The sequence below is a fragment of the Homo sapiens genome, chromosome 14, assembly GCF_000001405.40.
Source record: "Homo sapiens chromosome 14, GRCh38.p14 Primary Assembly".
NCBI lineage: Eukaryota > Metazoa > Chordata > Mammalia > Primates > Hominidae > Homo > Homo sapiens.
In genome coordinates this window covers 93,977,425-93,999,089 of record NC_000014.9, presented here as the reverse complement: position 1 = coordinate 93,999,089, position 21,665 = coordinate 93,977,425, and the positions used below count along the sequence as shown (strand labels likewise).

General features: G+C 53.4%; 1 protein-coding gene and 2 long non-coding RNA genes across 27 annotated transcripts in view; 2 read left to right on the top strand and 1 right to left on the bottom strand.

The window, feature by feature from the left end:
* The window catches only part of CCDC197 (coiled-coil domain containing 197), a 24,471-nt gene extending 12,606 nt beyond the window's left edge, over positions 1-11,865 (bottom strand). For 10 of the 22 annotated variants that reach the window (NR_024183.2, NR_024184.2, XR_007063999.1 and 7 more), the window contains exons 1-2: positions 1,519-1,789; positions 855-1,091 (exon numbers count right to left, since the gene is read on the bottom strand). Coding sequence is in view for 16 of the 22 variants with exons in the window: in XM_047431183.1 (XP_047287139.1) it covers positions 855-958 (104 nt within the window). In the remaining 6 variants the exon portion in view is untranslated. The other 12 variants (NR_024182.1, XM_047431188.1, XM_047431193.1 and 9 more) reach the window with 8 other exon arrangements.
* On the top strand, positions 1,900-7,515 carry LOC124903368 (uncharacterized). 3 transcript variants are annotated; one of them, XR_007064315.1, is made up of 3 exons: positions 1,900-1,988; positions 2,729-2,842; positions 7,425-7,515. It is a non-coding gene; the product is annotated as an uncharacterized LOC124903368 (long non-coding RNA). The 3 variants fall into 3 exon arrangements; XR_007064314.1 differs by having other exon boundaries at positions 1,910-1,988; positions 2,732-2,842; XR_007064316.1 differs by lacking the exon at positions 7,425-7,515 and adding an exon at positions 4,303-4,784 and having other exon boundaries at positions 1,910-1,988; positions 2,732-2,842.
* LOC107984663 (uncharacterized) lies at positions 9,024-21,665 on the top strand. Of its 2 annotated transcripts, XR_001750860.2 has the most exons (5): positions 9,024-9,221; positions 9,892-9,957; positions 11,319-11,409; positions 12,275-12,412; positions 15,317-16,006. It is a non-coding gene; the product is annotated as an uncharacterized LOC107984663 (long non-coding RNA). The 2 variants fall into 2 exon arrangements; XR_001750861.2 differs by lacking the exon at positions 12,275-12,412 and having other exon boundaries at positions 15,317-21,665.

Below are 21,665 nucleotides of genomic sequence, written 5' to 3'. Positions count from 1 at the left end.
GCCCCCAGAGGGGAGGCGGCCACGTGCTATTGCCTGACCATACTTGACTCTTTGGGGAATCCCTAAGCAAGTCACCAACAGGTCACCTGCTCTGGACCCAGCCAAGGTCAGCAGTCAAGGGCAGAGACCAGAGTGGGGCTTGGCCTGGCCAGCTGGCCAAGCTCCCAAGCCACTCTGACTGTCCAACAGGGGCTGTGCTGGGGGTTTCTGAGTGGCCCAGGGCAAGCCCCTCTGCTTCTCTGGGCCCTCCCTCTCTCATCCGTATGATTCTGAAAAGTGCAGGACAACATCATCCTTCCCACAGATACCACGTGGGGCCCTGTGAGCCGTGACAGTGCTAAACCGTATTGGGATCAGGAAGGCCTCTGAATCTGTTGGGTCAGCTCTTTTCTTCATAAAACTTTGCATAGACACATCCTTTTGCATCGAATTCAGGCTTTTGTGGGTAGCCTGAAATGTCTTATCTCCCCAACCTCCCATCCCCATGGGGTGAGGACCCAGGGTCACCACTAAGAGTCAAGGCGGCAACCTCGTAGACTGGCCTTAGAGGGGCCGAGTGGACAGGTGCAGACGGATGGTCACCCACAGTCCTCCTTCCTGATGTAGAGGCTCAGCCTGCAGAGGGCCCGGGACTGGCCCAAGATCTCAGGCCAAAGGGCAATAGCCACACCTCTTCTCTCTCCCGTCACAGCTGTTGCTCAGCCCCACCCCGCCCATTTGCTTCCAAGCCACACTGCCCTCCTCATCCACCCCCTGTCCTGGCCTCCTCGGGGACATGTTTGCTAAGTCCAGCCACTTAGCCCACTGGGGAAGCACTGGGGCTGGGGCTGGGGCAGGGGTGGGACAACACATACTTAGCCTGGAGCTGGTAGAGTTCCTGCCACAGCCCTTGAAGGTCCCCTTCCTTGTCACCAGGATTGCTTGGGTCAGCTCTCTGGCCTGTGTCCATGGCTGCCATCACCTCACCACCGCAAGCTATGCAGGAGGACAGGAGACCCGTGAGTCAGGCAGGATGAAGACAGACCGAAAAGGGACAGTCACAGCCGCAGCTTCCTCTTCAGATCCTTGGAAGCCAGGGTTAGCATCCCCACCTCACAGAAAAGGAGACAGAGGTTCAGAAAGGGGCTGTGAGCAGCTTAAGGTCATCTGGCAGGACTGGATGAGGACCCAGGGCTCATTAAATCCCAAGTCCAAGGTCTTCGGGCTGCATCCCCAGCTCTGGAGAGGTTGAGGGTGCCATTCTGCAGGGGCCTTGTTTCACTTGCGGCCCTATAACTGGTACAGCCCCATCACCCCCAAGTCTTCAGTTCCTGGCCACCAAGATGCCTGGGAACTTTCAACAAGTGCTGGCTTCAAATAAATGATGGAAGAAGTCATAGGGTCAGAGCCAGAGTTGGTTCAGAAAACAGCCTGCTTAAGGAGGAGGCAGCTTCATCATCATCTCTGCCCACCCACCCCCCATCCATGCATTTATTCACTTAACCAACATTACATGCTCTGAGCTCATACAGGTCTTACAGAGCTACAGTGGAGACTGAGAAGAGATGCCTTGAAGAAGCTCATGGTCAAGCTGGGAAAATGGTCTAGTTACAAGTAGCTTCAACACGGTCTTGCAAACTGTTCCTGAGCCACTCACCCAAGGCCAGTATGCAAGCATGACCCTCATTGGTCAGCTGCTGAACCAGCCCAGTGCATTGGGGAGAGAAGGTGAGGGGCTACAAGGTCAGTCTTTCTAGCCCCAAGCATCAAACATAGGTAGACAGGCACTGGAGGAGGAAGGGGCCTAGCTGACTCACCTACAGCTCCAGGAGCACAAAGCCACAGCCAGGCTGTGACATCACAATGCTGGCTTCTGTCCTTATGATGTGTCCATTGCAGGATCCACCTGTGGGTGGAGGGCCAGATTCTCCATGGTCCTAAAACCTCCCACCCCCAACTCCCAGTCCCGTTCCCAAGAAGATGGGGAGAAAGGGCACTGGCAACCCCATGTGAGACTTGGGCTATTTTTGTCCTTTCTGTCAAGGCTGGTCTGCTTTATGTGCTGCCCAGTTCCAATTGACCTGTCCCGGGACTCTCCCTTGACCCCATCCCACCTGATTTTGGTGGCTGCAGCTCAGGCATTTCTCCATCAGCCCCCCCAAGGCTCAGCCCCACCCATGGCTCAGGACCAGGCCTGGTTCCGTGCAGGGGGTGGGAGCAAGCTGAAGGACCCATGTCTGGGAACTGCCCCTGCCTACAGCTTGGCGGTGAACCTCCTGTTGGAGCCACTGGACCTGTGCCACCGGGGAAGGTGGGGTGGGGAGGGCTGGGCCTCTTGCCCACCCTGACACCCCACCCCCACCACACGCACCACCCTGCCGGCTGGCCTGGCCTTCCCCCTCAAAGGCTTCCATTGGCTCAGAGCTGGGCAACCTCAGATGGCTCCTGGGAAGCCACAGCTCAGTGTGGGCTCCACTGGGAGGAACGTTGTGGGTGGGGAAGGTCCCCAGAGAGGGTGAAGGAGGCAGGAGCCAGGGCAGGGCCTGAGCCAGAGTGGGGGCCAGGAATGAGGGAGGGCGGGGGTCTCTGCAGGGGCAGAGCAAGGGCTGGGGGTTCAGGTCTGTGGCTGGAGTTGGGGCACGGCTGGAGCAAGATCTGGATCAAAGGCTCGGGCTGGGGCCAGGGTCGGGGCTGGGCTCAGGGGCAGGGGCAGGGGTTTGGACTCATCCCCCTCACAACCCCTTACCAGCAGGCAGTGAGATCAGCCCCAGCCAGCCCAGGAGTCCCTGACAGGTGCCCAGGGCTGCCTCTCCATGGTCCTAGAGCCCCTCGCTTATGTGCTGAGCACCGACTGAGAATGAAGGTGAAGGGTCCTTGCTCTGGCCTTGGGTTCAGACTCAGGAGGGAGGTGGATGCAGGTGTGGGGGACGTGGATGCAGAGGGAGAGGAGCTCAGGGGCTGGGGTTGCCCAGAGAAGGAGTCAGCCCAGTTCAAGGAGGGGTGGGGGAGTCCCCCAGAGTCAGCAGTGTCCGAGGTGTTTCACGAGGATAAGAATGAAAGGAGAAGGTGGGAAGGGCATTCTGGCAGAAGGAATGGCAGGGACAAAGGTTCGGAGGCACGGAACAGCTTGCACATCCTGCGCAAACCGTAGGCAGCGCCTTCAAAGCAGAAGGGGGCGATCAGGGTGGGAGTGGTTTGGACCGTGGCTGGTGAAGCTGTTGGCAGGAGTCAAAGGGTATCAGCCAGCAGCAGAGACTGTCCGGGCTACTCTGGGCAAGGAGAGATGCATGGGAGGCTGTAGGGAGGTGCAGAATCAGAAGAAAAGCTGAAAATCCAGAGAGGACAGGGGCTCAGGGCAGCCCTGGAGATCCATGCGGCAGGAACTCAGGGAGGCGCCCCCAGAATGAATCCTTCCCAACCCCTTTTCATCATCCTCTCCATTCTCAAGAATCAAGAGAGGGTGCCCAATTGGCTGAGCCTGGGCCATGTGCCCACCCCTTGGCTTGACTGACAGTCATATCCTAAGAGCCCGCATTGGGGCCCGGAAGTTTCCCAGTGCAAACCCTGGCGCTGTTCCCAAGGAATCGGGACAGCTGAGCAACAGAACCCACAGGTGCTCCTCCATGGAGGCTCAGGGACAACAGGCTGAGGAGGCTCAGGGACAACTGGGCTGCATCCCCAGCTCCGGATAGGTCCAGGGTACCATTCTGTAGGGGCCTTGTTTCCCTCGCAGCCCTATAACTGGTACAACCCCATCACCCCCAAGTCTTCAGTTCCTGGCCACCGTGATGCCTGGGAACTTTCAGTAAGTGCTGGCTTCCAACAAGTTCTGGAAGGAGTCACAGGGTGAGAGCCGAAGCTGGTTCAGAAAGCAGCCTGCTTAGGGAGGAGGCAGCTTCATCATCATCTCTGCCCACTCAGAAATGGTCAGAGCATTTCTGAGCATGCTGTCTGGCTCAGAGTGGCGGTGAGGCTGGCAGCGTGGCAGCGGGAGTGACTCATGTCTGTGTGGCTCAGGTCTAAGCACTTCCATGCAGGGGTTCATTCATCTTCATGACACACCGACGTCAAAGCTGTTATTTCACAGAGGGCAAAGCTGAGGCCCAGAGAGGCTAAGTAACTTGCCCAAAATAGTTTTGATATTAATCCAGAAAGTCAAGATCCAGAACCATCTGGGAGGTTGAGTGGTTAGGACCTTGAAAGTGATGGATAGGGGGTCCCACAGCGGGAGGCTGTTCTTGGGGAAGACTCCATTAGCACCTCTGGTTATGGGACCTTCACTGGGGACAGTCAGACCACTGACCCTCCTCTGGCCGGAAGCAGATGCTGGAGAAGGCTCGCCAGACCCTCGTCCCTTCCCACGCTCAAAAATTCCAGGACTTTTCTTCCTAGAAGTTCAAGGCTGTAAACCACTTGACCCCATAGGTGGGGGTGGGCAGGTAGGTTTGGAGTGGGGATGGTGGCACTATTTGTTTTCCAGTGACAATTTCATTTTTGGCCTGAAGTGTCCCATAGGCACTGAGAGAACACACAGACAAGGCTGGGAGAGGCTGCAGCTCCTTGGGAGCCGTTTCTCCCACCCAGGCCCCTAAAGAGTGACTGTCACAAGCACCAGGGATTGAGTCCTATCACGGATTTGCCACTGCCTGACTCTTTACTGGGAGTCTCTCGTTTCATTCTCAGAACGGTCCTCTAGGGTGGTGGTAGCACTGCTCCATTTTGCAGATGAGAAAACTGAGTCTATGAGGCGAAGTAACTTGCCCAAGGGTACACAGTTAATACAAGGTAACAGGGCTGGCTACACAGTTTGTGGGGCTCAGTACAAAATGAAAATGCTGGGCTCCTTGCACAAAAATTATTAAGAACTTCAAGATGCAATAGCAGAAGATAAAGCCAAATGTGGACTCTTGCGAGTACAGATCCTGCATAACTGCATACGACCCACGCTGGGATGTGGACCCAGGTCCAGGGATTCCAGATGTAGTTATTCTCCATCCTGCTCCTTAAAACCCACAGGCCTGCCTCAGACCCCTCTTCACCGCCCTGGCTCTTCCTCTTCTTCCTCCCCCTTCCCCAGCCTCACTCAACCAGCAGACCCCACCCTTCCCTAATTAGGGGAAGACTCAAGCACTTACATGGAGGGTGAAAGGAACTTAAGAAGAAAAGAAATGATCAAGGCAGAGAGACAGGAGCTGCCAAGGTTCCACAGCGGTGAGGGGCGCAGGTCTCTCACCTCCCAGACTAGCCTCTACCCCCTGGGCCTTGGACAAGAGAAATCCAAGGCAAGTCTGTCTGTTACAGGCAGCTGGGAATCTTGGGAGCTGGGAACCTGCTACAAGGACAGAGCTGCAATTAAATGGCAATAGGACCCCTTTTCAAAAACCTTAACAAGGACTCCTGGGGCTGGAATCTGCCCCCAGGCTTGGGTCACCAGGCACAGCAGAAGGAAGGGCCTGATCAGGCCTTCTGCAGAATTCACCCCATCTGCTCTACAGCCCCAAATGCCCCTAAACAGGGCCAAGGCCGGCCCTTCCTCAGCCATTGACGCTCAGGATGCAGAGTGGGGCTGCGGGTTGAGGCAGGGCTACCAGCTGTGTGGCCTCAGGAAAAGTACTGACCTCTCTGAGTTTCAGTTTCCTGAAAGGCAAAGTGTGGGTAATAGCACCCAGGGATTAAACGAGATAGTCCACGTACAACACTTAGCATCTTCTCGTTTTTGTAGAGTTAACCCATGTGTGCATAGGAGAAAGTCTAGAAAGATATGAACGAACATTTTATGTCTTAGGGGCAGGGAAAAGCGGAAACTTTTAAACTGGTACAACTCTTTAAGAGAGTATCTGTTCTGACCCTTTAGGAAAGCAAGCAGCCCAGAGCTGACCCGTCGTAGGTATTCGATGGGCGTTAGTTTTGTTTCCTGCCCACCTCTTCTCTCCCCCTCCAGAGGATCACAATGGGCTGATCCCCTAATGCAAGAGCACAGGAGCTTCAGCAGAGGTTGCTGGGGTTGGCTGGCAAAGGTGGCTCTGGTGGGAAGAGGTGAGAGGGTGCAAGGGAGACAAACTTGGCCTATTGATTCGGCCAGAATTTTACTAAGACCTGGCACGACGTAGCTCCTCCCCCGTTGAGACAGAATCTCAGCAGTCTACCTCTATCCCCTCCTTCCATTTCTAGCACAAGAGGAAAACCCAGGGCATCCTGGGCCCAGGAAGCTGTGCTGGGGCCCCACCTCCTCTGAGGCCCTCAGCCTGGCCCAGCACCCACTTCCCTGTGCCCCTACCCTCATCCTTGCTCTGCACCAGGAAAAGCTCCAGGTCCCAGAGCTGGGGAATCACCCAAGCAGGTCCTAGGACACTGTAAGGCTGTCTCCAGCTCAGTTCTCCCAAGACAGGGCCTTCCCGTGGTGGAGGATGGAGGCTCTGGTCATGGTCCGAGGGGCCACAGTGGAGTTCTGGGCCTTCCGGTGTCTATGACACTGACATCCTGCCACCCCTCACCTCCCTGGAATAGCTCAGAGGAGATGCCCTCCCAAGAGGCAGTGTGGGAAGGGGCTGCTCTGACCAGAGGGAACCAGGGCTGAGGGGCAGCCAGGGCATCATCAACTGTTTTCTTCTGTCCCAGAACCATCACCTTCCTAGGAAGAATCACTGAGGTGTGGGGCACAGAATGAATTTAGGGACCCTGCAGGCCTGGGTTCAAGTCATGCCCCTCCATGCCACCTTGTCACCTCCTGCTATGAATCTCTTGGTGGGGGTTGGCCCGGCAAGGCTGTGAGCTCTGCCTCCAAAGTCTCTGGAATCTCTTCACTTCTCTTCGCTGGCCCATGTTGGTCCCACCTGGAGCAAGCACTGGCCTTCCCTGCTGTTCCTTCTGCTCCTGTCCCCTGCGGGCCACTCTCCACCTGGCAGCCAGAGAGAGCTCGTCTTAAAGCGAAAACCAGATCTCCGCATTTCCCTGCCAAAACCAGTGATGTTCAGGTCAACAGTGAATGGGAGAAAAGCCAAGATGTATGGCATTCATCAGTTTCTGTGGTGTCAATCCGCCCGCCATGGCTGATTTCAAGCTACTCACAATTTAACAACCTGTTTGCAAAATGCCTGAAGACTTAACACTGGCTCTTATGAGCTGGTCTGAGCTGGCTACAGCACACCACCACTTTAAAACATGACAGATGAAGTTCACATTCTGGCTGATGAGGCTCCAGATGCCCTGGCTCCTCCTTGCCTATTCCTCTCACAGTGGCTTTTCTGTTCTCCTTCCTGGCCGCAGGGCCTTTGCACCTGTGGTTCCCTCGGCCTGGAGCACAAGTCTCCAAGCTCTTCATAGCACTCTTTCCCTCTGGTCTTCCAGATCCCAGCTCCTCCTCAGAGTGGCCTTCCCTGACCATCTCAGGTACCGCAACCGCAGCTTACCCTTGATGACCTCACCCCTGTGTGGCTCTATTTTAGCACTCCTTCCTGTGGATTTTCTCCCTCCCCACTGGAATGTGATCTGCATGAGGTCAAGGACTGGGACCGAATTGTCCCTGCTGGAGTCTCCGTGTCTAGAAGAATAGTACTGGACCCACAGCAGGCGCTCGATAGATGTATGCATACAGACAGAGCTTCGGAGATGCACGGCTTTGGGTTTGAGTCACGATTCTCGCACCAACCACCTGTGTAGCCATCATGAATCACTCAATCTCTTTGAGCCTCTGTGTCCTCGTCTGTAAGTGGGGGACAACAACATTGCCTATGTGATGGAGCTGTGAGGGCCTAATGATGACATAGGTAAGGCACTCAGCACAGTGTCTGTCATACTAGGATCTCAGTAAATGAGAATGGCCTCTTCACTTCATATATTCAGTGATGGGCAGCTCATCCCCTCCCACGGTAGCCTCCTCATCCACCTCTGGGTCACTGTGACCACTAGAACATCTGCCCTTTCTTGTATTGAATCCAAATAAGTTTCTTCCGGTGTCCCCTGCCTCAGTCCTAGTTTAACAACTTCCCACACAGAAAGTCTCTTCCTATTAAAACCACTTTCTTAATGTTGGCATGAAGGTTGATAGAGTCGTGCTTCAGCATGAAAAGAACACTAATGGCAGGTCAGGCACCCCTTGGCAGCTCTCATCAGTCATGAGCTGCCTGGCCTTGGGCAAGTCCCTCACCCTCACCTAGCCTCAGTTTCTTCCTCCATGAAATGAGATTAGCAATATTACCTACCTCCTGGGGTTGCTGTGGAGATGAAATTAGCTGGTATACGTAAAGCATTCAGCATCTAGCCCAAAGAAAGTGCTCAAAAGACATCACTATTGTCACTATTATCATGCCTGGTGCAGGACCACTCCCAGATCTAGCATCTGTGGCCTTTTTCTGCCCCAAAGGCCAGGCCTCTCCTGAATGCTCTCCAGCCAAGCTGGAGAAAGGGCCAATTCTGGCTCACCCACCCCAATGTGCACCCCAATCTGTCAGAGCTGCCCCCTCACAGTCCACTAGAGGGTGAATCGGAGCTTCCCAAAATCTCCCATGGGACTACCTGACCTTGGGCAGTCATTCCATCTACTGGGCTTGGAAGGAGATGTCCCCAGCTCCTGGAAAATAGGCTGGCCTGGAGCAGGAACTGAGAGTGGCTCAGTCCACTCCAGGCTGGGGTGGCTTCTGCCAGATCCCTGGGTGGCCTGGACCAGCCCTCTTTCTTATCATTTTTTATGGATTCCTGATGTTCTTAATGGTGGTAGGAGAACACGGCTAACGAGGTCAAGTAGGAGGTGAAGTGAAGAAGGAGGAAGACCAGGAGAGTGGTACTCTGAAAGCCGAGAAGGAAACAGACTCGAGATGGTCTAGGAAAGAAACAGATCTAAGAAGCCCCCAGGATTCCCCTTAGTCCCTGGGGCTGTGAATGTGGTGAGCAGTCACATCTATGATCATGTCACCTTTCATGACAATGGGGATTTTGCAGATGTTGTTTACCAATCAATTGACCTTGAACTAGGAAGATTACCCACGGGTCTAACTGATTACACAAGCCCTTTAAAGCAGAGCATTTTCTCTGTGGCTGGTAGAAGAGGAAGTAAGAGATTGAATGGGTGAGAGGGATTCAATGGGAATAGAGAACAGAGGTTCTCATTGCTGAGATGGCAGGGGTCATAGGGCAAAGACCAGAGAAGCCACTAGGAGCTAAGAACAGGCCCGACCAGCAGTCAGAAAGGAAACAGGGATCTCAGGCCTGCGGCTGCAAGGAACTGAACACTGCCAACCACCTGAGTAAGTTTGAATGTAGATTCTTCCCCAGGGCCTCCAGATAAGAGGCCCGACCTTGACTTCAGCCTAATGGGACCCAAAGAAAAGAACCCAGTGGAGCCCTCCCAGGCTTCTAACCTACAGCACATCGGGGCTGGTTCAGCAAAGACCCTCTAAGACCTACAAGACTCACTAAGAATGAGTCTTGATCTTGGGTTTTGATCTTGGGGGCCCTGGGGACCCAGGTGGGCATGAGGAACAAGGTCAATGTGAGTTTGAAGGCTATTATTTGACCTCTTTCAATTCTAAGTATCCCAAAGCCAGGAGAATCATTGCATCTGGATGAAATCCTGATGGCTTCCTAGGAAGGGTGTGGAGGAGAAAGGCCATCCATGTGCCCCACTGAGCATGCCAGGGCCACTGATGGCTCCTGCATGTATAGGAGCACCACGCTCTGAGCAGCATCTGCTCTAGGGAGAGGCATGGGACTGGACAACTGAGGCAAGTGGTGTGTTCTGACATCCAACCCAGTGCTGGATGTCACTGCATCACAGAGCAGCCCGAAATTTTCATACAGTCTGTGCTTCTTATCCTGGGTCCTGGGCTGCAATGCCTCTGACCTGGGAGCCAGGTGTCTGGGACAGCGTTAAAGGGATGGCTGGCCATTTTGAGGATAGCCAATCTAACTCCCTAGGGTCTGCGGCAGCTGTCAAGCATCTCAGTAACTCTGGCTGGAGGATGAGGCCTGACTTTACATAAGGTGGGTGCTATTTACCCATGTGTTCATTGAGACTCCCCTGCCCTCTCTCACCATCTCTCGCATGGACCCCAAACATTGCAGTTTACACAATCTCTTTGTATCAGGATCTCATGGATCTGCAGGCACACAGCGTCCCGCACTCAGAAGTGCTTGGTTTAAGGCTCTGCTGTTGCTGTCTCCCATCCTCTCTCCCATCCCCTCCTCCCATTCCCTCCTCCAATCCCTGCTCCCATCCCGTCTCCCATCCCCTCGTCCCATCTCCTCCTTCCATCCCCTCCTCCCATCCCCTCCTCCCATGCCCTCTCCCATCCCTTCCTCCCATCCCTTCTCCCATGCTCTCCTCCCATCCCCTTCTCCCATTCCCTCTCCCAACCCCTCCTTCCACCCCTCTCCCAACCCCTCTCCTATCCCCTCTCCCATCCCCTCCTTCCGCCCCTCTCCCAACCCCTCCTCCTATCCCCTCGTCCTATCCCCTCCACCCATCCCCTCCTCCCATCCCCTCTCTCAACCCCTCCTCCGATTCCCTCTCCCATCCTCTCCTATCCCCTCCTCCCACCCCCTCTCCCATCCCCTCCTCCCATCCCCTCTCCCATCTCCTCTCCCACCCCGTCTCCCATCCCCTCCTCCCATCCCCTATCCAATCCCCTCCTCCCATCTTGTCTCCCATCCCCTCCTCCCATCTCCTCCTCCCATCCTCTCCTCCCATCTGCTCCTCCCATCTACTCTTCCCATCCCCTCTCTCATCCCCTCTCTTGTCCTCTCTCCCATGCCCTCCTCTCCCTCCTCCCATCTGCTCCTCCCTTCCCCTCCTTCCATCCTTCCTCCCATTTCCTCCTCCCATCCCCTCCTCCATCCTTTCCTCCCATCCCCTCCTTCCATCCCCTCTCTCATCCCCTCTCTTATCCCCTCTCTCATCCCCTCTCCCATACCCTCCTCCCATTCCCTCCTCTCTGGCCCCACCCCTCCTCCAACTCCTCCTTCTAGACTCCCCTACCACTCACTTTTCCTCCCTGACCTTCACCCCTCCTTCCACCCCCTTCCTCCCATCCCCTCCTTTCATCCCCTCCTCTCCTCTCCGGCCCCACCCCTCTTCTCCTCTCTGGCCTCACCCCTCCTCTCACTCCTCCTTCCAGATGCCCCACCTCCCTACTGTTTCTCCCTGGCCCCTCCCCTCCCCCACTCCCTCCTTCCCACCTCCCTCCCGCGCTGTCCTCCCTGAGGCTGTACCTCCTGTGGGTAGGAAGTCTATATTCCAGGAGCTGACACTGCTTCTGGCACTTAGCAGGGCTCATGGCATTTAATTTGTGCCTTGAGGATAAAAATAATAATAGTTCCACTTTCTGGGCACTCGTCTCCTGCAGCCCCTGTCACGGACTTGCTGGAGTGTTACCTCTTTGAAGCCTCACTCCCGCCCGTTAGGAAGCTGCTGCAGTCCTGACTCCTGCGTCACAGGTGAGGACCTGGGGCTGCCCGCCTCCAGAGAGTGGAGGGAAGAGGAAGGGAGCCAGGCTGCTGGCCCAGTGCCCACACCAACCCCACGCCAGCCACTCCCAGGGCCCAGACGGCCCAAGGGAGAGGGCATTCCAAGCCCAAAAGGGTTCAACAGGCCAGACACAGATGGACAGACGGTGGGGCAGAGGCAGAGCCACGAGGAAGAGGAGGCTGCGCAAGTCGTCTGGGGCTGACCACACAGGCCGCAGAGGCCCTACCAAGAAGATCTGGCAAAATGCAGTCACCTGCTTTGATTCTCTCCAGGCCAGGCTTTCCCAAAAGGCAATGCACGGCAGCCCTTGGGTTGGACAGGCACCTGGGTCAGAAACCAGACCTCTGGGTACTGCAGCGTGGAGATCATCTGAAGGCCTCTGCAGTCCTTTCCTGGGACGTGTGGCACGGCAGACATTTGATCCCACTGGGCCAGGCAGTGCTGTGAAATATAAACCCAGAGGCCCTGAGGGCAGGGCAAAGACAGAGAGGCCAGCTGGAACACCAGGAGGGCCACGGGCAGGCCCTGCACTAGCATCCAGTCAGCACTCGTCCCAAGAGCCCGGGGCTGGCAGTGCCCTGTGGGCTGCAGTGTATCCACCCTCAGGGCACAGCCCTGGCTGTCGATGTGACTGCCCAGGTCACACGCTCTTCAGGGGCCAGGCCAGGAGCTATGACAGTGCAGTTTGGAGGGGATGTGGCTGGCTTCAGTGGCACCAGGAAAAGTGGGAAGTAAGGGAGAAAGGGCAAGGAAAGACAGAAAGAAATCTGGACACTGCATTAACGGACTGAACCTAGAAACATATTTTCAAGTCTCTGTGCTTCCATCTTTTAGCTGTGAAGGGGAGATGGCCACTTTGGACCACGAGAAATATCAATATCAAACGCCCTTTCTTTTCATGCCCTCACCTTCCTCACCCAGTGTCAGCTCATATCAGGGGGCCCTGAGCTTCCTGGAAGGTCACCTTACCAGGTGCGTACAAGACCATGCATGTGCACGAGTGTGTATGAGAGTACCTGTCTGCACAAAGGTTGGCAGCAAACATGTTTGTTAAATGAATTCTTTTTTTTTTTTTTTTTTTTGAGACAGGGTCTCACTTTGTCACCCAGGCTGGGGTGCAGTGGCACAATTTCAGCTCACTGCAACCTCTGCCTCCTGGGTTCAAGTGATCCTCCCACTTCAGCCTCCTGAGTAGCTGGGACTACAGGTGCATGCCACCATGCCTGGCTAATTTTTGTATGCTTTTTGTAGAGATGGAGTTTCACCAGGTTGCTCAGGCTGGTCTCAAACTCCTCCTGCCTCGGCCTCCCAAAGTGCTGGGATTAGGCGTGAGCCACCATGCCCAGAGGCTGAATTTTATCCAACAACCAATTATTTTGAAATGATGTGGAACAGGAGGTTGCATCCCAGGATTCACAAACTCTTCCAAAATAATTATCCCATCTTTTATTTCTGTTTTTGAAAATATTTAGGTATGCTTGATTTAAATTCCAACTGACTTATGATTAGAATTTTTATTCTCAGAGAAAAAAGATTGGTGGATGCAGCAACTTTCAGTTGCTCATCTGGTTTCAGAGGCACTCAGAGTGTGGAAGGGCCTGTATTCCTAAGAGCTCCACAGTCCACTCCCTTCCTCAATTTCTCAGGGCTCTGGAGAGGGGAAAGGTTTGCATAGGGTCAGAACTTTCCAGAAGGGTGAAGAGCAGCACACTGGTGGTTAGGCTCAAGTCCTTTCCAACATGTGAGGTGCCTCACATGCCTGTAGAGTTGTTAGTTTACACATCTCACATGTGCTCATACGTGTACACTGGGGCAACCACACACACACCTGCACACATGTGCTCCAAGAAAGAGATGGAGTGTTGTATTTGTAGAAAACAGGAGACTTCAACAGGTAGGTACTCACTATTTTTAGAAGACTAGTTCGGCTGGGTGCGGTGGCTCATGCCTGTAATCTCAGGACTCTGGGGGAGGCTAAGGCAGGCAGATTACCTGAGGTCAGGTGTTTGAGACCAGCCTGGCCAAGATGGTGAAATCCCGTCTCTACTAAAAATACAAAAATTAGCTGGGTGTGGTGGCAGATGCCTGTAATCCCAGATACTCAGGAGGCTGAGGCAGGAGAATCGCTTGAACCTGGGAGGCAGAGGTTGCATTGAGCCAAGATCGCACCACTGCACTCCAGCTTGGGCAACAGAGCAAGAGTCTGTCTCAAAAAAAGACTAGTTCATTTGTCCACTGTCATACTAACTGGTGGGTTAAATCCACCTCTTCACTTAAAGAATGTAAACTATGCGTGTGTGGTGTGCTGTCAGCTAAGCACCATCTGTGTGTGTGTGTGTGTGTGTGTGTGTGTGTGTGTCTGAATGCACCAGCTACAAGCAGGGCTGAGACCTGCCTAGGGCTCCCCTTTCCTGCTTAAAGGAGGACCCCAACCTGCACATGGTCACTATGGCTGTTCTTTCTGTGCTGCTCAAACCACAGCCACGTGTCCCCCTGCTGGTGGCCTTCAGAGCGGGTTTACGAGCCCCATTCAGTGAATCATCCCATTATATAACAGTCACAAGGCGGTGGAAATCCACTCAGTTCTCCTGGTGGCAGCTATTCCCGAAATCCAAACCTACTCCTTTGTCAGCTTGGCCCATGCCCCGTTCTACTCCCTAAGAGCCACTTTCCACTGCCCCTGCTCTTCAGCCAGGCTTCCTCCCCATGGCACTGTGGACATTTGGGCCCTAATTCCATGGGGCGGGGGGCGGGCAGGCATGGGTCCTGCCTGGTGCATTGTAGGATGTTTGGCAGCACCCCTGGCCTCTGCCCACTAGATGCCAAGAGCATCCTCCCCTTTCCCCCAAGTTGTGGCAACCCAAAATGTCTTCAGGAATTGTCCCCAATGAAGAACCACTGTCTCCAGCCAACCACCATCCCCTCTGTCTCTGTCAGGAAGTTTAAGCTAATAACAACCTCTAACATTTATAAGTCTTTATTCTAAGGGATATATACATATATGAATATGAACATACATATACGGATATATAAATATATGAATACTATATATAAATTATATATGATAACATATCTTATGTATATATTGTATTAATATATACGCAATTGTATATATATGAGTGTATACATATATATACACACACATATATATACACAGAATGCTTGGGGTACTACGTCATATAATTTAATCTTTGCAAACTTCCTGTGAGCTATGGATAATATTATTCTCCTCCTCCCTGCAATGTATATCAGGAAGCCAAGGCAGAGAGTTAAATAGACTTTCTACGGTCACACAGCTAGCAAGTGGTTGAGCTGGCAGATGACTTCAGACTCTAGGCTCTTAGCCACTGGGTTCTGAAGAGGGATCTGGGGCAGTCACATTACCAGCAAGTCTGTGCTGGGAGTGGCCCCCAGCCTGACCTCCTGTGGTTGGGAACAATGAGGCACAATGACACTGACACCCGAGATGCCTGGGCTTGAAGCCCCTGGATCCTTGCTGGGGCTTGTGATCCATTGCAAACCACAACCTCCTCACCCCTAGGCACTTCTGGGAGTCTCCGGGGGGTAGCAGGCATCTTGAATGTGCCCATGAGAAAGTCCAGCCTGCTGTCTGGGCTCATCCTTCTCCAGTGTGGTGAGGTTCCTGCCAATGTGCCCCACAACCTGGGTTTAAGGTCTATGGCATGATGAGATTATCATGGGAGGAAGCTATGGAAAAGCACTCCGTGGGTTTCTGGAAGTCATGGCTCCTACAAAGGCCTGACAAGCCCCTCTTATTCTCCAGATTCGCTTCCCCTTTCCTCAGGAAAAGGATGTTGGAACATGAACTGCAAGGAGCTCCCAGGTCTGACATTCCTGGCTGTTCTGATCTTTCAGTCCTCTGCAGGACCGAGGCTGTGTGGACGGAGGCTGTGTGGATGGAGATCCCACCATCACCGAGTTCGGGCAAGTCCCATGAGGGTCTCAGCTCCTCATCCGTAACATCAGGATGATAAAGCCTCCCTCGCAGGATGGCCGTGCGAGTGCCCAGATCCCAGGAGAGGGCTGGTAAATGGGCGTTGCCTGCCCCATCCCTTTCTACCTGCACGGAAAAGGAGAGATGGCCCAGCCTCAGGTCATCAGGACCCTTGAGCCAACCCTGCATCTCAGCCCTGACTCCCACCCAGAATGCCGGCCTTCCTCACCAAGGGTCTGGCTGACACCTCTGCGATGCTCATCACTAGTCACTTGGGATTCCCTGGTGATATGGTTTGGCTGTGTCCCCACCCAACTCTCATCTTGAATTGTAGTTCCCATAATCCCCACATGTCATGGGAGGGACGGGGTGGAGATAATTCAATCATGGAGCGGTTTCCTCTGTCCTGTTCTCATGATAGTGAGCTAGTTCTCACGAGATCTGATTGTTTTATAAAGGGCTTCTTTCTTCGCTGGGCACTCATTCTCTCTCCTGCCATCATGTGAAGAGGGTCTTTGCTTCCCCTTTACTTTCCATCATGATTGTAAGTTTCCTGAGGTCTCCCCAGCCATGCGGAACTGTGAGTCAATTAAACCTCTTTCCTTTATAAATTACCCAGTCTTGGGTATTCCTTCATAGAAGCATGAGAATAGACTAGTACACCTGGGGAGCAAGGCCTAGGGTGAAAAGTGAAGCTCAGAGCAGTTACCCTCCAGCTGGAGGCACCCCCCACCACTACAGGTGCCAAATGGGTAACAGCTGCCTGTCTGGAGCAGGTGAATCGTTTTGCTCCCTGCGAGCTCAGGCTGTAGAATGGCTGAGCCAGGGACTGTGTCCACGAGGCACCCTCCTTCCCAACTGCCAATCACAGTTAGTGCTGGAGGAGACTGGTCTGACCTCAGCTCTGCCCACATGGCCCGGAGCTGTTGCATCCAGCAGGACATGTAGGGTCCGACCCAGCCACAGCGCATCCCTGGCGAAGGAGGCTGGGCTGCTGCACTCTAGACTGGTGTGGGAGAGGCCTTTCCCCCCAGCCAAAGGGCACCAGAGAGCTCCAGCTCATGGAAAACCTGTTCCCAGCAGCTAACTTGGGCCTGTGGGCCACTCAGGGTTTAATTTTGTCCCTGAGTTCCCAAGGGTGATTCAGACAGGATGAGATTGAGCCCTGGAGGGGCCAAGTGACTTGGCTAGACAATAGAGCCAGTGGCCTCCAGGAAAGTGCAGCTTAAGGCCTGAAGACAGCAGGTGGGGAGGAAGAGGTATGATTAGTGGGTATCTCCTACGGAGTCCTGGGATCTCATTTAATCCCCCTAACAACCGTGGGAGAGAGTCATCACTCCCCCAGTTTCAGAAGAGGAAGCTGAATCCAGAGAGTTGCAGGGCTATAGCTGGGGGCCCACAGCATTCAAGGAATGGACTGGGATCATCTGACTCCAGTGCCTGGACTAGAAACTAGATGGGGCGGTGCTAACTTGGATTGCACATGGGTGGCATCTTCAACAAGGAAGACACCATCTGCACCGGGCTTACCAAGCGCACTCCCAAGCGGGAAGCCCAGGACCAAGTAGGCACTCCCACCAGGGGCAAGGTATTCATGAGAGACAGTCCTGGGCTTCACAGGCCAGGGCTTCTGCTGTGGAGAGGTCCTTACTAAGGGCTGGAATGGGCAGGCACAGTGGCTAAATCAGACAGCTTACCAGTCAAGGGATAGTGGCTAAATCAGGCAGCTTACCAGTCAAGGGATAGTGGCTAAATCAGACAGCTTACCAGTCAAGGGATAGTGGCTAAATCAGGCAGCTTACCAGTCAAGGATGGCTGGAGATTTGTATGAGGGGTTGGGGTTTACAGCAGGGGCTTGCAAGGAAGGCTGAGGTCATAGCTCTGCCCATTCTTTTTGTCCCACTCTTCTCTCTTAGCTACTCTTGCCTGAAGGAAACCCCCAGCCAGCTGCAAACAGCCCAGTGTCCCGCAATGGACTTTGCTCCTCAGAACTGCTAACTTGGGTGACACGCTTATGAGATCCCACTGGTGCCCCCACTACATGCATGTGGGTGTTGGAGAGAACAGGGCCAGGGTTAGGCCTAGTGGGGCCTGGGCACAGCAGGAGACACAGGAGGGGAGGCCTCCATTGCCACCCTGAGCCAACTGCGGGCAGCCCTTCACCGGTCCCTAGGGGACATTGCTGGATAATGGATCCTCACCTTAGTGGGTGTCCCCCTACAGGTAGAGTGCCATAGGCTGGAAGGCTGCCCTGCCCCTTCTCTCCCATCCGAGGCATGTGGCTTCTGCCCTTGCTCTGCTCTCGATAAATGGGGAACACTGTCTTCTCTCCCTGGGACCTGGCTTGGCCCTCTGAGCTGGCAGGTAAGCTGGGAGCTGGTTCCTGATTGCTCCAGAGCAAAGGCCCATTTTGAAGAAGGAAGAGAGGACGTCTCACTCTTTCCCTGGATCCTCTCCTCCCCTTCCATGGATGCTCCTTCCTCCCTCCCAGGACTTGGGGCCTTTGTCTGGCCTCCCCCATGCCCTGCAGTCTGCCCTCTGCCCATCCCCCTTCAGAACACCGCCCAGGGTGAGGATCAGACTCTTGTCTGTCCATCTTCAGCTTGGTTACTTGAAACCAAAATAAACTGACAGCAAGAGGCAGCCAGGGCTGGGAGCCAGGACGCCAGGATCGCAGGGGTGCTTATTTTAGCGGATGATGTTCCATTGCTGGGCTGGAGTCCGCCCAGGACTTGGCGTTGACTCACAGCTCAGCTCCCGGGGGCTCTTGGCTGGCTCTTCCTCCTCCACTCTCCTTCCCTCCTTCTGGAAGAGGTGTCACTGTCACAGAAACATGTGCTGGTCTTGGTTCCCCCTAGACCCGACTAGGTATAGGGCCCTGCAAATGGCCTCTCCAATACATACATGCACCCCTTTATTCCTGGGCATTCAGGCTGACATAAACAGAGAGGGATGTCTGGAAGGGAGAGACCTAAAGTGTGTGTGTGTCTTTGTAGCCACCGGCCAGGCTCGGGTTGGCAGGCAGAACCAAGGCCCTTCCCAATTCTGCCTCAGGGACTGTGGGCTTGAGTGTGGGCACACATGTCCAACAGTTATGGAATGGGCATCTCTTATGTGCCAGGCACTGCTATAGACACCGACACACAGCAGTGAACAGAAGGACAAAGTATTCTAGATGGAAGAAACAGGCAATGCACATATGGGAGATAAATATAGAATAGGTCAGCAGGGAGGATAATGCCAGGTGAGGGGGTAGAGTAAGGGAGGGCAGGTTCTAGTTAGGCTTGGGAGAGTGAAACCCACCTTGGTTCCAGGTGTGAGTCCTGGGGCTTTCCTGTGGTGGCCACATTCTTCTTCCCACTCCCTTGCAGGTTGATCAGTTGCATAGTTTCTGCCTCTGCATTTTTATTCCCCTTCTATTCCCTTTGTTTCCCCACAAAAACCCTCCCTGGAGGGCTGTTCCCAGGGTAGCTGGTGGGCCTTGTGCAAAGTTAGGGACCCCGGAAAGGCTCCAGAGATCACTGAGGCCAGGGCTGCTCAAATGCTCACCGTAATTTGTCATCAGGGGTGTGCAGATTAAAACTGCAACAAGATGCCACGGATGCCCATCAAAATAGATAATATGAAAAAAGATGGAGGCTGGGTGCGGTGGCTCGCGTCTGTAATCCCAGCACTTTGGGAGGCTGAAGCGGGCAGATCACCTGAGGTCAGGAGTTCGATACCAGCCTGGCCAACATGGTGAAACCCCATCTCTACTAAAAATACAAAAAAAATAGCTGGGCGTGGTGGTGGGCACCTGTAATCCTAGCTACTTGGGAGGCCGAGGCAAGAGAATCGCTTGAATCCAGAAGGTGGAGGTTGCAGTGAGTCGAGATCTCACCACTGCGCTTCAGCCTGGGCAACAGAGCAGGACTCCATCTCAAAAAAAAAAAGAAAAAAGATGGAATCTACCAATTGTTGGTAAGGATATAGAGTGACTGGAACTCTTATGCCTGGTTGATGGGAGTGCAAACTGACACAACTTTGGAAAGCCATGTGACAGTTTCACTCAAGTTGAAAGAAGACCTAAACTCTGACCCAGTGATCCCCATCCTAGGTGTATACCCAAGAGAAAGGAGTATGAATATTTACCAAAAGACATGTACTAGAATGTTCATAGCTACACTCTTCATCATCGCCCAAAACTGGGAACCACCCAGATGTCCATCAACAGTAGAATGAATAAATTGTGATATATTCATAGCATGGAATACTACACAGCAATTAAAATAACAATCTACAACTCCATGAAACAATATGGGCAGGTCTCGCAATGTGTTGTTAAATGAAACGAGACGCAATGATTTCATTCACATGAAGTTCAAAGGAACCTGTCCTGCTAGCAGTCAGGAGAGTGGTCACCCCTGGCAGGAGGTGGTGGGTGGTGGGAGCTCTTGAGGTGCTTGTAATATTCAGATGTTGGGTGTGTCCAGTCTGTGAAAATGTACTGGGCTGTACATATGTGAAAGTTGCACTTTTTTGTGGGTATACTGAACTTTAATAAAAAGTTTTTAAAAATCAGTCCTGTTTGGGCCTCGACACAGATTATTTAAATCAGAATCTCTGGGGTGGGGCAGGCATAGGTAAGTGTAATATGATTCTAATGAGCAGCTAGGGCCAGATCCCAGCACAGTTCTCTTTCCTCTGGGTCACACTGCCTGCCCTCCACAGGCTCGAGTCAGATGCTTGAACGCTGTCCCTGCCTTTGTCAGGAGAGTGTCTGTGCTTTAGGACATCAGCGTCTGATCCCATGGGGCATGGTTCCCACTGGCATGGCTTTCAATGTGTGAATTATTCTGCCCCCAAATTGCCAGGTGATCTCAGAGAAGGCACAGAACCTCTTGGGGCCTGAACTAGTAAATGAGGGCTCTGAACACCAGGATAGCCAAGAGTCCCTCCAGTTAGAGGGACCACAATTCCCCTGTAAGACAGAATCTCAGCCAAAAGGAGCTTCTGGTCTGATAAACCCAAGAACTGGGAAATGACTTGGGACTACATTCTTTTGTAAAGAGTGAGGTAAAAAAAAATTTAGTTTGAATCTGTTTTTCTTCTTTTAAATGGAAACAAAGACAAGTGGAAAGTCAGAAAAAAGTTCACGGGTAGCACACGAGAGCTGAGGAGCATGCAGCTGAGACCGCAGTGAATATTTGGTGAGTGTCTGGGTTGATTATTACTACATATCAAACTACCTCAATCCCCAGTGGCACGAAACAATCCTTTTATCATAGCTTGTGGTTTATGGGTCAGGAAGTTGTGGGTGGTTTGTCTCTGCTCCACGTGGCATTAGCTGTGGCAGCTGCAGGTGAAGGATCCACCTCCGAGAGGGTGTCTTCACCCCTCTGCCTGGTGCTAGATGCTCTGGGGGCCCTGGGTGTTGCTTGCTTGGACTTCCTCACAACATGGCAGCTACAAAGCATCTCATGACCTAGCCTTGGAAGTCTCAGGACATCATTTCCACTGCATTCTATTGTTAAGTCCATCACTAGGCCACCCCATATTCAAGGGGAGGGAAGGAATAGACACATCTTGGATGGAGTTTGGGGTGTGTATGTGTGTGTGTGTGTGTGCATGTGTGCATGCCCATGAGGCAGAGGGCAACCTAGGAGGGGCCTGGCCTGGCCACAGCCCACCTTCCAGGTCAGATTGGGAAGGGGCAGGTGGTGGGCAGGAAGTAGAGGAACCTGTGTTTTGCCTCCAGCAAGGAGCCCAGGAAAGCAGCCCGGCCTCGGGGAGCCGTCCCACAGAGACGTCTCTCGGGGAACATCCTACTGGGTAGCAGAGTCTCCAAAAAGTAAAAAGAATCTGACAGCCCCTTCTCTGCCCTTCTCCTACACTCCCTCCATAGCACATGGGTCTGGAAGGGGCTGAACTTGAGCTAACTTTGAGGGCCACCCAGCCACAGTGGCCTGGGAAGACTGACCCAGCTGGGGTGATGAGCAATTTGGCAGGTACCAGGGAAGCTGGGGGACTGCCTGGGGACCACTGGTGTCCTTCCCATCTTTAGCACCAGTCAGACCTCCAGAACCTTGACTCAACCCCGTGGCACCTTGTATACTGAGATGTATTTCCTTGTGGAATATTCGAAGTGCGTGTAAAGGCATCCTGAGGTTTCCTGAGTTTGAATCAGTGAGAAATCATGCTGTGGCCATCATAAATCCACATCCTCCAAGGGGAATGGGCCACTGAAACAAAAATGATTCTCCCCTTAGAGGAACAGACCAAGTCATGTTT